The sequence below is a fragment of the Homo sapiens genome, chromosome 10 (assembly GCF_000001405.40).
Source record: "Homo sapiens chromosome 10, GRCh38.p14 Primary Assembly".
Taxonomy (NCBI): domain Eukaryota; kingdom Metazoa; phylum Chordata; class Mammalia; order Primates; family Hominidae; genus Homo; species Homo sapiens.
This window is the reverse complement of record NC_000010.11, coordinates 117,951,647-117,968,121: the sequence shown is the minus strand read 5'-3', so window position 1 is coordinate 117,968,121 and position 16,475 is coordinate 117,951,647. Positions and strand designations below refer to the sequence as shown.

The window sequence follows — 16,475 nt, the reverse complement described above, 5'->3', positions numbered from 1 at the left end:
AAAGATGCATATATGTGTGTGTATATGTATATACATATACACACACATATATAAGGATATATCATTTAAAAGTTTCCAGGTCTTTATTCTTGACAGAGGTCAGTTCTTTTAACCTTGACCCCCTCGGGTTATGATGTGCTGTTGTTGTCACCTTCATATGTTAATGAGTATTAATATATTTTTGTGTAATATTTTATATAAGTACATAAATGTATAGTTATATAATTATCTATATATTTATAAATGTATGATATAATTACATATAAATTATGTATTATTTATACTTACATAGTTTATAAGTATATAAATATAATATTTAACATTTTATATATTTATACTTAAATAGTTCATATATAAGTATATAAACATAATGTTAAAATTTTATATATTCATTTAAACATATTTAATATACAAATATATACTCAAATATATAATATAAATTAATGCACTTTGGCATGGAAATTGGGGCGGGGCGATCAATACAAACGTAGCTCACATCCAAACAAAGCTGAGTGATTAAAAATAAGGGGTGTGGGCTCCCCGCCGCTGTGCAATAATACCAACGCTCCAAGGCAGTCCAGGTATTGCCTCTGGGCTCTCCTCTCTGTGCATATCAGCCTTAAACAACTCTTGTAAAGCTGCAGGCTTGTTAATCTAGAAGGCTGTACAGATGGACTAACTGTAGCTTTAGTCATTATACTTAATTGGGCGAGTGGCCCTCTGAGCTGTCTATAAACTGTGTGTTCACAGTGAGGTAATTAATAACGCCACTTCCTTTTGAGAGACATATCATTAGCCATTATTTCTAGAAACATGACATTGATCTCTTTATTCAGAGAGGTAATTGCAGGTTTCTGAAAAGAGTGTATGGTTTACCCAACAATTCCCCACAAGTGACATCATCTCTGAAAAGTAAAACCCACAAAATCTGTCATTTTGAATCCATAGTTGGGATTTTGTTCCCTAGGGTGGTAAAAGAAGATTCTGGAAAAAAATATAATGAACTATTTTGGTATGAAAATAAGAGTGAAGGATCAGCTTTGTTTTTTTTTAGATATTAGCAATTTCTTTAAGAGGCGGGTTAACGGAGATGCGTTTGTGCTTGTTAGGATTATAGCAAGAAGTGAAACAAAACAATACTAAAAATTTTCAAAAAGGTTAACGACTGCCTTTTGATAATAGTTTTCCTATTGCATCTTACAACGTGCTCACAACTGAATTCAATTTCAACATTAACATGTGAAAACCCATGCATTCCAAAATCCAATTCTTAACATTAAAAAAGAAGCAGGGAAATTCAACAACACTGGGCTTCACATTTTGCATTGATTGGATTCTTACCGTTGAGCAAGAATTAAATGAGAATTTCAAAATAATTTTTGCTAAAACTTCTAGCTAACTTAACCATCAACAATTCTACCTTCAGTGTTCACATTAAATTGAAAAAAAAAAAACTCACTGCCACATTTCAATTTTTTTGAAAAAGTCTTTATAAGGTAATGGTAGGATTAAAGAGAAACAAGACCTTTATTCATCTGGATTATTTTCTTGCCAGTTTCAAATCCTTGCCTGGATTTTAGAGCATGAGTCCATTTGAGAAAGGAGAGGCTAGCAATTTAGAACAAGGTAGCATATTTGAATCAACTGCAAGGTAACCTGCCTCCAAATTCTTTTGTAAACTTTACACTGTGAATCTTTCAAATTGCTGATGAATTTTCAAACCACGATTTTTTAAAGCATCTTTCTTCTTATAAATTTGTTTGGCACCCAGCTCTTTGCTTTTTGGGATAGAGTTTTAAATGAAAATCACAGAACCTCTGGGTTTGCTGTGAATCAGCATTTCTCAAGTACATTAGAGGTTAGAGGGGACACTAAATGTTCAGGATGCCACAAATTAATTTAGAACACGATGTATTTCCTGTTCTCCTCTTAGAAACTGCCCGTGTCCATTGGTGTATCAAAGGCCCTGACAAGTCCTGCTGTGAAGAAACCAGCTTAACTTTGTTTACCAGGTTTTATTGTTTTTTTAAAGCTATTTACCCTTTTAACTCTTCTGTATATTTGAAAATATTTCTAATAATGGGTTAAAGCAAAACAATTTGTATAATTGTTTTTTATTTTTTAATAATACTTATTAATATCCTGCAGAATTAACATTTCCCAAGCCTCATAAGAAATGTTGCCCAAAGTTAACCCATTTTACTACCATCTATTTATTGAGTTTTTCTTCTTTTTGGATAAAAAAGAGATTCATCTGCCTATGGACTTAGTGCTTAAACTTAAAACTTGGAAACTGTAAACTTTAAACTTGGAAATTATTGAACTTCACAAGTATGAATTCATTTCTCAGACATAAAATAATTTTTATTGTTAGTCAAAATTGGTGAGACAGTATTGACAAGACTGGATGTGTGCTTCAAAAAAGGATGTTTTTCATTAAACAGTTTTAATCACCATAAATTTAAGTTCACGAAAATAAACTCAAAATTTTAAGAGAAACTTGTTGAAAGAAAATGTCTGTCTTTTAAATTGTAGGTTCAAATGTATGATGGAATTTAAAATGATGTCCAAGTGCCTGAATAATTATCTTAAAGATAATACTAAAATGTCATTTAATGTCTCAGTACCAAAGGGGTATATATTGGATTGGATAATTTGGCATTTTAGGGTTTGGGGACTTGGGGAGGGTATGTATGGCTTATGGGTTTTAAAGCCCTAATCTCATGATGAATTTGGTTAATGTTATTAAAAGCAACATATTAAATATCTATCCTTTATTTAATATATTAGATTTATTACTATGGTTTTCTGTTGGATTTTGTTTTTAACCTGGCAGAAGCATATGCATTTTAATCTAAAATTAATCTAAATGCTCAAATCTATCTTCAAATGCTTTACTTAGTTAATATGCAGACATATCTTGCTAATGCAGCAAACAACTCCATTCAAGATGTACTTTTGATTCCTAATTATCTATAGGAATTAAAAATCCTTTGATTAAAAAAATTACTCCCATTAAGAATCAAAAACTGGCTGAGGTGGGCGGATCACCTGAGGTCGGGAGTTAGAGACCAGCCTGACCAACATGGAGTAACCCTGTCTCTACGAAAAATACAAAATTAGCCTGGCGTGGTGGTGCATGCCTCTAATCCCAGCTACTCAGGAGGCTGAGGCAGGAGAATTGCTTGAACCCGGGAGGCAGAGGTTGTGGTGAGCCGAGATCACGCCATTGCACTCCCACCTGGGCAACAAGAGCAAAACTCTATCTCAAAAAAAAAAAAAAAAAAAGAATCAAAAACTTCATTTTTCTTTCCCAAGTTTAGACCCTGGATGTTCTTGGTCATTGTGTATATCACCAATGAGTCTGTGCTCAGAGAGTTGGCAACACCATAGGAAAGTCTGAGCGAGCACTGAGTGAGAGGTGCTGTGAATAAACCACTGAAGGGCATGCTTCAGAAGTTTATTAGTTTTAGGGATATTAAAATATACTGACAAATCTAGTGCTTTCCTAATGTCTTAGATTACCCTATGTGTGGCAAATAAACAAGGGAAGTCCTCTAAGGGTTGTTTAAGTTAAACAAATAAATTCTGGCTATGCTAAGTTAGTGCATCAAGATGTTTTTTGTCTTTCCTTTCCTGCCTTGGTGGGTCTGATAAAATCAGAAACCTCTCTACCCTTTGGATTTTTAAGTAGGAAAGAAAGACCAGATTAAGGCACGGATGCCTCTCCCTGGGCCCACTGAACCCGAACCAAGTGGTTGTGGGTTGCAGGAACAAGAGCTCCTTTGTCGTCTTCATTAATCAAACTCACCAAGCCAGATGAATGGGAAGCATTTTTTAAAGTAAAATAATTCACTAGAATTTGGATGTGTTTCTCTTTAATTAGTTTGATGAGCCCCAAGTCTGAGGACTTGTCAAACACCTGGTATTAACCCTGCGCTACTGACCTAGGGGAAAAGGCTGGGGAGAGGCAAAAAAGATAGGCAGGTGGAATTAGCTGAATGAAGAGCCCTTTTCTGTGCAGCCTGTGCTCCAGATGAAAAGAATCATTACCACAATGATACTTCTAATTATACTGTCATTAGGGTACCTCTTCGGTTTGCTGTGGTGCGGGGAGCCCTGCTTTTAGACAACATGATCCAGGAGAGAGTGGAAGCAGGGAGGCCTGGGAGGCATTTAACCCTTTCACTAGACACAACTTCAGCCCTGAAAATGAACCTAAGAGTTTTAAATTTGCTTTGCACTGTGCCTCCCACATTGCACATAAAAGATGTCAAAACAAGCAATATATGGGCCTCCATGGGGAAACTTATCAGTAAGGAGCTCCTGGTGCACCCACCATTCGCTATAGTGGCGTTTCCAAGCTCACATGTTCAAAGTTCTGCTCAAGCTCAGCCAATGGACACGCTGTTTCCTATGGGATGTATCATTCTAACCACCTCCACACCATTGGGTAACAAATGACCAAACAACCACATCCTTGTATTCCTAATTCTAATGTGAGTTTACAAAATCAAAATTGGGTACCACAAAATTAAGGGTAAAGGACATTCTGTTCATGGAGGGTGTAGCTTATCAGTTCAAAGTATGAGTTTTGGAGTTTGATGGGCTTCCATTGGAACTTCCACTTCATAACTTGCTAGGTCTTAGGCTTTGAGTAGATTACAGGTTTTTAAGCCTAGAATTCTTCATCTGTAAAATGGGGTAAATAATAGATCTTGCCTCACAGAGCTGTTAGAAGGAAAACATGAGATGATTCACATACAATGCTAAATAGCACTTGGACAGTTAATAGCAAACACTTAGAAGATGGGTGTGAAGAGGTCGTCTCCAAAAGTTTTCTTGAGGCAAGTCCACATTTTCCTGAAATTACCAACATACCAGAAATACCTGCCTGTGCTATATAACGAGAAACTGCATTTATTTATTTCCTTTTTCTGGAGTTAGATGCTTGTCAGTTTCTGTCGATAACAGTTGCAGAGTCCCTAAAAAAGGCTGTGTGATCAACTAAATTCTTTATTTTTCTAGTGTGTGAATGATTACAATAAGTTCCTCAAAACAGTTGTGGTATAAGTATCCAATAAGACAGTTTCCTAATAAAAATGGTATATTCAGTGTTGGTGACATTTGGATAGAGAGAATGATATTGTTAGAAAGAATCTGTGAATATTTTTGAAACTTTATTCTTCAGAACAGTGGACCATGATGCCCCAAATGATGCCCCAAATGGGGTCATGGATTTTAGCATGAATAAATCCAGTCCTGTTGACATCTTTTAAAAACTTTATCTGCCACAGTCTTCAATTGGCATTGAGATTTTAAAAGATTTTATTGTATGTGTTCTTCATACATATGAATGGATTTACACATAGGATGAAAATTTGAACTATCTAGAAGAAAAGCACTATTTATATTGAAGGTATTCATATACTTTATTGCTAGTTTTTTTATGTCAGCATTGAATAATAGTCTAGAGAAACCACAATTTAAACTATTTTAAAATAAGTCAGTCTTGAATTTTGCACTTAAAGGGTGTGGATTTTTCATGAAACATAATGCAAAGCATATATTGGGAGGGTTTATTTTACTGACAAATACCACTGATGATCCACTTTTTTGGTGGGTGGTATGAGGCTAGTTCAAAACAAGCATGAAGTGAGTGAGTGGTATCGGAAGACAGAAAGACACACATAAACGTACACCTACAGAGTTTTCTGCAAAGTTTATGCAGAGCACTCAATTTATGCAAATTTCATGCAACATACACACATATGGCTACATAGAGCTATGTATGCATCCCAGACACTTATTGATCACTGAGAAATTATTAAGCCAATGTTGTCATGTATGTCTAACTCAGTAATGGGATTTTCACTAGGTGAAATTATTATTTTTATTTTTAAATCCTTGCTGTGATTATTTTAAAATCTACATATCATGTGGGTTTGGATATTATGCTGAAGTCAAATTATTATGAACTCTGAAATGGCTAAATTCATGAGCTAGTTAATTTCTACGACCATTGCAAAGATGACATTGTATTGCTATGAATTTTAATTAAAATAGCAGACTTTGTTTAATCCTTTTATTAAAAAACCGCCCTACAATGCAAGTAAAAAGTTTATGCAAGAAAGCAGTTAATTTTTGAAATGTTTAAATATCTTTTCTGTTTAAATCTCATAAACGTAGCCCTCCATCAATCCATTTTTTCCTTAGAAGGCGGTTTTCCACCTATTTTTTATAAAAACTAGAGCCTGAAATTTACTTTAAGTATAATTAGGGCCCTAAAATGTATGGTTGCTCTCTGAAAACTATATCTCCAAGCTCTTTTGCAATACAAGTTAATTAACTGGATTTAGATATTTGCAAGATGATATATTTAATGGGATTACTGCTCATATAATGTTCTCAGTGACTGATTTGCAATCTAAGCTCACGAAACCGAGTGCTGAATTTCCAGCTCTTTGAGAGTTAATGTTGTGTTAAGGAAAGGTACAGTTTGAACCTCATTGTTCATGAATAGGTGAGTTATTCCCGTGAAATGGAGCTGGGCCCTACGAGGGGTGCAGCAGGCAGATGCATGATCAGAAGCCCGCAGACCATCACATTCCAGCAACTGCCCCAGGTAGCTGGATCCCCACACCTGAACTTCTGAGAAGTTCAAGGCAATTGTGTGTTCCATCAAAATATAATGGCCCATTATTCACAGTCTGTCTCCTAAGTGGGATCAATTAGTTGCTCCTGCTCCACAGGCTTAAACACCCATATTTTGGTCGGCTGTGAGTCCAAATGAAACCATACATAACCATTCTGCCACTGTGAGCACTGAACGTTCTAAATCCATCTTTCAATGCAGGCATTCAAAATATTTGTGATTATTTTTATCAGGCTGGGTGGATAGATAAGTAATAATTTGCTTGGAGGGAAGAACTGTCAGCCTTCCAAAAAAAAAAAAAAAAAAAAAAAAAAAAAAAAAAACCCTTCCTATTCATGTCTGCCTTTGTCTCTTTTGCTCTTTTTTTGTTAAGCAAATATATTTCTGCCCGTCAATTGGGTTCACTCTGATGTTATGGCTTCAGTCATTGAACATGACACTACTAATGAATATAATTTAAATCTCTCTGAGCAGAAGACTACTGTAAAAATAGCATTTTAACTAAAATGTTGAAACTTTTATTAAATGTATAAATATTAGCTGAGTCAAATCACTATTAAGAGAAAATTTAAATTCTCTCTTAGTTTAGAAGTCTATATAATGGTATATCCAATTTCTCCTTTTCATTGGAACTTAGCGAGTAAAATAATTCTTTGTACTTGACCTAACAAGATTATTTCCAGGGATTCATAAATGCAGACTGTACTTTGTACCTAGCTTCTAGATAACCGTTGAACTCTCTCACAACAAATGGATGACTTTAAAAAGAAGCTTGTAACGTAGTCATGACTGTTTCCCCCAGTCTTTCTCTAGGTACTCATACAGATGACTGCAGACAAAAATGAAAGAGCAATTTGAATGCAGATCAAAAAGCCAGAAGCCAGAATCAACAAACCCAAGGATTGAGTCAGCTGTGAGGTCATTTGGTCTAGATTTGCTTTATGGAGGGGTAGACTGTTGCCCAAAGAGGTGGTGTAACTTGCTGGATGGGAGAACCAAAGCGTGGGTCTCATTCAGCTCCTGAAGCTCCCTGGTGGAAGGCTAGGCTCAGGGAAATGGCTGTGAGAAGGGAAGGGATATATATGAAGGAGGGAAGGTGTCTGACTTCTGCTCTTCTTTCTTCCCTAACACTCTACTGAGTCAGAAGCAGCTCACAGGCTGCTCCCCACAGCTCCCCTGTACCTGTCAGGTAAAGTGAGTTTAGACCGAAACACCTGTGGATGGGGAATTCCCTCACCATGGTTGGGGATTTAGAGGTTAGCATACACCAATAAGCCCTGCAGTGATTTTAGAGGGCTCCTGACTTGACTTGTTGGGGTTCACCCCACCCTCTCTCTTAGCTATCTTGCTTCCCTTCTCCCTACCCTTCTAATTTGCCCAGTAGCTGACGGGTTTCCTAGGTCCCTGAACCCTTCTTTTTTACCCACCATAGATGAAGCCTTCACTGCTCATCTGCACTGTTGTGTGTTTCAGCTTTGGAGGTTCATGGAAAGAACTATTTTTCTACCTTATTGAACTCTTCCTAAGTCAAGAGAATTGGATTCAACCTCCCTGCCCTTTTCACCTCATTAACCTCTATCCTTTCCTTAGATCTCAGTTCATTTTCAAGCCTTCCCTGACCTGCATCACCAGGTCAATCCCTGCATCAGAGGCTTCCATAGCATCATATAGCTCTCCCTGTAGCACTTAACAGAATTGTAATTTTATATGCACTTATGTGCTGTTTCTAATATAAGTTTTTATTTTGAAATAGTTAAGACCACACGACGTTACAACATGAGTACTGAGAATTCCCGTATACCCTACTCCCAGTTTCCTCCAATGGTAACATCGTCCATAACCATGGTACATGGTCAAAACTAGGAATTGACATTGGCACAGTGCTATTGATTCAGGTAAAAACCTTACCCGGATTTCCACATTTTTTACATGAATGTTGTGTATGTATAGTTTCATCAAATTTTAGGTTCTGGTAACTATCACCACAATCAGGATACGAAACTCTTCTTTCACAATTGAGAAGTGACTTCATGTTACCTTTTAATAATTTCATCCTTTCCCCAGCCCTAACCCCTGGCAACTACTGATCTGTTCTTCATTACTTTAATTTTGTAAATTGAGGAATGTTATATAAATGGAATCATAAAATGTTTAACCCTTTGGCAATGGCTTTCTACATGCATCGTGGTTCCCTTGAGAGCCAACCAAGTTGTTTGCATGCAGCAGTCATTTGTTCTCTCCTATTGCTGAGTTGCACCCCTTGGGATGTTTGTATCACCATTTGCTTATCTGTTTACTTGTTGAAGGGCATTTGGGTTGTTTCTCGTTTGGGGCTATAGAAGTCAGTAGGGGTTTGGGGCTTATATAAGTAAATAGAACTTCTATAAACATTTATGTACAGGTTTTTGTGGGAACACGCCATTTTCATTTCTCTTGAATACATACTGAGGAGTGCATTTGCTAGGTTATATAGTAAGTGTATGCTTATAAGAAACTGCCAAACTGTTCTCCAGTGTGGCTATACCATTTTTCATTCCCATCAGTGATAGATAAGAAATCTCGTTGCTCCACAGCCTCATCAACACTTGGTTTTATCCATGCTTTTAATTTTATTTTTAAAATTTTTATTTATTTATTATTTATTTATTTTTGAGACTATGTCTCATTCTATTGTCCAGGCTGGAGTGCAGTGGCATGATCTTGGCTCACTGCAACCTCAACCCCTCAGACTCAACAGTCCTCCCACCTCGGCCTTCCAAGTAACTGGGACTACAAGCATGCACTACCACGTCTGGCTAGTTTTTAAATTTCTTGTAGAGATAAGGTCTCATCATGTTGCCCAGGCTGGTCTCAAATGCCTGGGCTCAAGCAATCCTCCTGGCTTGGCCTCCCAAAAGTGCTTGGATTATAGGTGTGAGCCACTGCACCCAGCATGTGTTTTTATTTTAATAATTCTAATAGGTGTGTGGTGGTATCTCATTATAATTTGCATATTCTTAATGCCTAATGATGTTTAACATCTTTTCATGTTCTTTTGTGCCTATATATCCTCTTTGGTGAAGTATCTGTTCAAGTCTTGCCCATTTTCTAATTGGGTTGTTTGTTTTCTTACTGTTGAATTTAAAGTGTTCTTTATATATTTTGGATAAGCCCTTTGTCAGATATGTGATGTGCAAATATTTCATTCTAGTCTGAAGTTTGTCTTTTTTTCTTTATAAGAGAGTGGTTTTCAGAGCAAAAGTTCTTAATTTGTGTTAGTTACAATTTATCTATTTTTTTTGTGAATAATGCCTTTGATATCATGACTAAGAACATTTCACCTAATCCTAGATCACAAAGATTTTTTCCTATTTCTTTTCTAAAACTTTTATAGCTTTAGATCTATAATCCATTTTGAGTTAATTTTAGTATCAAGTACAATGTTTGGGCTGAGGTTCATTTTTTTATTTTTGTTATTTTTTGCCTATAAACATTGAATTATTCCAGCAACATTTGTTGAATTCACTTCCATTGAATTCCTTTTGAACTTTGTCAAACATCAGTTGGTCATTCTTATATGGGGCTTATGTGATATTTTTATTAGTTGTTTCCTCTCCTATTAGACTCCATGGGGGCAAGGACCATTTTCTTTTTCATTTTTTTCACCACTGAATCTTCAGCATGTAGCACATTGGCTGAAACACAGTTAACTGCTCAGATATTTGAACGATGGAATAATCAATTGAGTTAATAATAAGGTAAAAGCATTTGAAAAATACAGAGCTGTACATATACATTATTATTATTGCTGTCTGTGTTATTTGGGTGTTTTTTTCCTTTGTTTGTTGTTTTTTCTGAAACAGGATCTCACTCTGTCACCCAGGCTGAAGTGCAGTGGTGTGATCACAGCTCACTGCAGTATCAACCTCCTAGGCTCCAACGATCCTCCCACATCAGCCTCCTGAATAACTGAGACTAAAGGAATGTGCTACCGTACCCTAGAAATTTTTAACTTTTTTATAGAGATGGGGTCTCACTCTGTTGTCCATACGGTCTCAAACTCCTGACCTCAAGCAGTCCCCCTGACTAGGCCTCTCGAAGTGCTGTGATTACAGCCATGAGCCACGACACCTGGCCTAGTTGGTGTTTTAAAGAAAAGAGGCAGCAAAGGATTAGAGCAAATCGTGTGCATTTATTTATTTCTCAGTGTGTGCAGTGATAGCTCAACCTAAACTACATTTTTTCCCCAATTTTTCTTTGCAAGAAATTTTTACTTGTCTAACTTAGAGTTATATTGTGACAGCATCTGACAGGATCTGACAACTTATATATGAAGCCATTCTCAGTTCTCAATAGCTAGTTCAGTCAACAGAAACCATTTTATTGATTTTACAAGTTACTTACAACCATAGTGCAAAAACACACATTCTTGAAATTAATATATTCATGAAAACAAGATTCTAAGGAAATAGATTAAATTTTGAATAGGAAGGTAGAGCAATGAAAGAAAATAGACATTGATTATAAAACACATTACAATGACATATGTGTGCAGCCTATTCACACACGCCATATTGAGTTACTGGAAATGGCAATTTTAGTTTTATTCTGGTCTCCCAACTAAGAAAAACAGAAACCTATAAACCTTTTATTAAATACAGACTAAGAAAAGAAGAGGGATGCTTGTGAAAAGCTAAGTGGGAATCAATAAAAACAAATTCCTATTCCCTAGGATATTAGAAATTACATCACGTTCTTATTTCTATGTTAAAGGCTACTTGTTCATGTCATGAGGAGTTAAAATATATTAACAAGAGGAAGGACAACCAGTAGAAATAACTGATGGTATTCTGACCCTTTGTGAAGGAGTTTATGGTATAATAGATATTGAGTCTGATATTAGTTTCCAAAGAGTGATATAGCTTTTTTAAATATAATAACTTTAGATGCATTGGGGGAATGTTTGAGGGTAAGTGGGATGTACTGAGGTTTAGTACAGCGCTTGGGCTGTAGAAGCTCCCAATTCATTTTGGTGAATGAATGAACATTGACTTTATTCAGTTAAGTATTACAGCCTGGTATTGTGGTCAGATCCTGGGTATGGACTCATGAGGGAGGGAGAAAGAACTGGCATGTATTAGAGTTCCTACTGTGTGCCATGTAACATGCTAGGTGATTTCTGTGCATCCTCTCACTTATTTCATATAACAACTCTTAAGCTAGGTGGCATCTGAAATTTATAAGTCAAGGAGCCAAGGTTTAGAGAGGTTGAATAACTTTGGATTTGAATCTAGGTCTATCTGATATCAAAGCCCACGTTCTTTCTGTTATATCACACAGATGATGATCTGGGCACAGTCACTGGTTAGCTCTATGACCGTTTTCTCTTTATTCTCCACCTACCTTCATTTTAAAAATAAAGTTCTACTTTAGATGGCTAGAGTGAAGACTTGGGATGGTGCCTTTTGAAAAAAAAAAAAAAATCCCGGGTGATTGTGATTCAATTTGAGCATCTACCATTAAACTAGGTTAGGGTTCTTTTCTATGTTAATATCTATGAGTGTAGCATCTGGGATCAAAGACGGCACTAACAGTTCCTTTAGTTCAATGCCAACAAATAGAGAGTGCCTACCAAATGCAAAGTATTGTTGGGCTGCAAAGATGACATCGACTTTGCCTTTTGCACAATTTTGTATAATTTAGTAAGGGTGGCATCTTTAATGGATAAATGGCTATCGTAAGGGAAGGATCAAGGAAGAATTATATCAGCAAAGTAGGGAAGGAGGAGAATTAGAAATTCTCCAGGGACCAGTGGGATTTGAAGAATGAGGGGGAGGATTTCAGCAGGCAGAAGCTAGGAGTGGAGAGGAGACTTCTGGTGGAAAGGACAAGGTAAGCAGAAACCTGCAGATAGAAAGTACAAGGTGTGTTTGAAGCAAGACAAAGGGTTCCATTTCAGGGTGGAAGAGGTGGGAGATGATAGAAAGGTGACTTGGGACCATATTACAAAGGCTGTGAAATCCAGGAATCCTAAGAATAGATGGAATCTGTTGAATGTTTTTGACCAGAACATGTATTTGATCTGACTCATGACTTGGGAACATGTAGCTGGCCTGGTATGTGAAATGGTTTTTGGATCGGGGCAGAGAAAGGATGCTGGCAACTACTGTAGCCCAGACTAAGCAACCCTGTTGTTACTTCTGTGATGGGAACTAACTCAATACAACTTCATGGGATAGAGGAAGAAATATAAATAGGGCCTGGGAATTGAATATTCCTAATAATTATTTGTTGAATAAATAAAAGCTGTATTTTTCAAAACAGACTTATATTTGTGTGAAATATCCATTATCCAAGCAAGATGTTGAGCAACAAAAAAGGTGTGCACGCATTAAATGACAATATGGCTTACGTAGCAAAAAACCCAAACCAAAAACAAGAAACAACTGTATGGCTTGCAATGAATACAAAAAGTGATTGGCTCACCACCTAAAACCATTATTGTACAGCATATCCCAACTATATAAAACTTCAAAGCATATGGGTGAGTTAATTCTACTGCCCCTTACTGTCAAAACCAGGACAACAGGGCTTCTTTAAGAATTAAAGCAGTCTATACTTGGAATGAGTCTATATTCTGTGTAGAGGAAAGGTGTGCTACCTGCATGGTGTACAGAGCACAACCTCTTCTGGTGCCCTTGGCAAAGGGGGTGGTTGTCCATGGGAACTTCTACATGATTTGCAATGAATTCAGCCTAAGCCAAGGCCATGGAATACAGAATCTTTCTCATGACATAAAATCTAGGAAAGGACTGAAATCTAAAGACAAAATTCTGAATTTACTTTCTCAAGAGAAAAAGAGAAAAGAAAGAATAGAAGGAAGGAAGGAAAGGAGGAAGGGTGGAATAAAGAGAAAAAGGAAGGCAGGAAAGAAGGAAGGGAGAAAGAGAGGAGAAAGAAAGAAAGAATCAGAAAGGAAAGAACAGAGGAGAAGAGAGGAGAGGAGAAGAGGAGAGGAGAGGAGAAGAGGAGAGGAGAGGAGAAGAGGAGAGGAGAGAAGAAGAGGAGAGGACAGGAGGGGAGGGGAGGGGAGAGAGGAGAGGAGGAGAGGGGAGAGGAGAGGAGGAGAGGGGAGGGGAGGGGAGGGGAGGAGAGGAGACGAGACGAGACGAGAAGAGAAGAGAAGAGAAGAGAAGAGAAGAGAAGAGAAGAGAAGAGAAGAGAAGAGAAGAGAAGAGGAAGTCCTAGCCCTTTGCTCATGTGTTTCCATAAGCTACATCTGTACTCTACCAGGTTCAAAAGCTTAGAGATGGCTTTAGTAAAAAGTACATAATAAATAACCTTAGTACTTGAGAAGCCAATCTAACAGTGCCTACCATGTGATGAGAGGTACACATCAGAGGCTAGGCACCTGCACACTCTAACTTTGCTTGCTTTGTAACTTTAAGCAAACTCCATATCTTAATCTCAAGAAATATAAAATAAATGGTTCCCCTACGATTTTTTTCCTCCACAGTCTTATACCACTGACCCTTTCTAGCTGTTAGAAAGATGCTGACTCTCAACATCATCAGAGATGAGGATTCTCAATCTTCTTTTTAAGGAAGGAGGAGAGAGGAAGCCACTGTGAGGCCTTTAGAAAATCAGCATATGAGAAACAAAATAACCCATTAAAATTCAACACAATACCCTGAATTCCTGTTAGTCATTTTTGAGTAGAAAAACAGGCATTGGTTACACAAAGATAAGGCCAAGATGCTTAACAGCAAGTAATTGAGATGCTCCATAGCAAGTGGAAGGAGGAAATGGCGGGGAAAGCAGTGGGGGCAGGTGTCTAAAGATGACTTTCGATTCTGCCAGAGGGAAACTTGTAATGTCCCTCCAGCAGGCATTCTGGGTTGTCCCTCTGTCGCCACCACTTTAAACAAACTCTTTAGTGTCCTTGTGAATTGGCATCATGAGATGTTAGGAAAGAATAGTGCTTCAGTGTATTCATGAGCAAGTGGTCAGGTCACCTCTGCAAGCAAATACTTCAAAAAATAATACAACCGTGGCTGTGCCTCTGCCCTGAAGCAAGCACGCGTTAACTCCTTCAGAGCAGGGGCTGAAAAGCTTACATTGAGGATACATTAATCTGGAAACAAGTGTACTTTTGTGTCTGGGAAGAATTCTTTTCATTGCCATCAATTTAGTACATCGATAGACTGAGATTCTAGCTTCACTATCAGGTTGCCCTCCAAGCTGAGACCCCTCCATAGGCCACACTACTTAATTTAGACTAATCTGAAGCTGAGTGGGGCTGTGTATCTGCTCCGGTTTCTCCCTGCCATCAGGAGCACTCTTATTGCCCTTCCCCTCATGACCCACTCTGAGTTTCTTGGCAGGAAGAAGTGACCTCCAGGTAACATGAACAGATATTCAGCTCTGTTGATAGTGTGTTAACTGAGGTTGAAAGAAACACACATGCATACCCACACACACGTGTGCATGCATTCATAACAACTAAAAGCATGTAGCCTCTTTTGCACATCCTGATATGGTATTACAGATTTTGGCATTCTGGAAGTGACAGGCACTGGCCAGCCCATACCCTTTTCCATGCTGCTGTGAGTTTTCTGAAGATGCTACAATATGTTGAGCCAAATTCTGCTGAAACTGGGGGGAAGATGATTTTTTGAATGTGTACTCTTTGGGTGCTCAGAACCTTGAATGGATATCCAGGACTGAATCTGGTTTTTAAATTTTTTGTTTTGATTTTGTTTTGATTTAATGCCTTTGTCTTTTTGGTAGCTAAAGGAGTTGGGAATTAGAAGTTATCTACAATAATCCTGGCGTGGTGGCTCACGCCTGAAATCCCACCACTTTGGGAAGCCTAGGTAAGAGGATCACTTGAGGTCAAGAGTTCGAAATCAGCCTGGGCAATATAGTAAGACCGTGTCTCTAAAAGAATTTTAGCTGGGCATGGTGACACACACCTGTAGTCCCAGCTACCTGTGAGGCTGAAGCAGGAGGATTGCTTAAATCCTGGAGTTGGAGGCTGCATTGAGCTGTGATTGCACCACTGCACTCCAGCTTGGGTGAAAGAATGAGACCTTGTTTTTGTTTTCGTTTGTTTTTTTGTTTTTGTTGTTTGTTTTTTTTAGAACTATTTACAATAGAAATTTCTGGCTGGATGCAGTGGCTCATGCCTGTAATCCCAGCACTTTGGGAGGCCGAGGCAGGCAGATTGCCTGAGCTCAGGAGTTCGCGACCAGCCTGGGCAACGTGGTGAAACCACCTTCTCTACTAAAATACAAAAAATTAGCCAGGCGTGCAGCGTGTGCCTGTAGTCCCAGCCACTTGGGAGGCTGAGGCAGGAGAATTGTTTGAACCCAGGAGGCAGAGGTTGCAGTGAGCCGAGATCGTGCCACTGCACTCTAGCCTGGGTGACAGAGCGAGACTCCGTTTCAAAAAAAAGAAATTTCTACTACTTATATTTGTAATATTGTGACAATCACATGCTTCTACTGTTTTAATATTAATAACAATACTAAAATAATATATTATTGGATTGAGTATTTACCATGACTACAGGGCTAGTCACTTTACCTATATTAGCCCTAATCCACTTGGTAGTCCAAGTTTTCAGAGGTGAAGAAAGGCAGGGCAGGAAGTTTGCTGGCCTGTTCAGGGTGAGCTCCTCCGGCCATGCACACAGCTTCAAAGCTATGTCCTGCCCGCTGCACAGCATTACCCAAAGGGGACTGTGAAAGCGTCCACAGTTTCATCATCCAGGTGCCTTTCAAGCTCATGATTCAAAAAGTGGGAGTTAAAGTTATTTGTTCCCATTCTCTTGGGTTTT

At 37.9% G+C, this 16,475-nt stretch overlaps 1 annotated feature.

Annotated features, from left to right (window-relative positions):
* Window positions 472–1,834: an enhancer, noted in NCBI's record as "VISTA enhancer hs1551". NCBI's record gives its function as "enhancer in: heart[3/7]" and the evidence as "EXISTENCE:transgenic organism evidence [ECO:0001131][PMID:17130149]".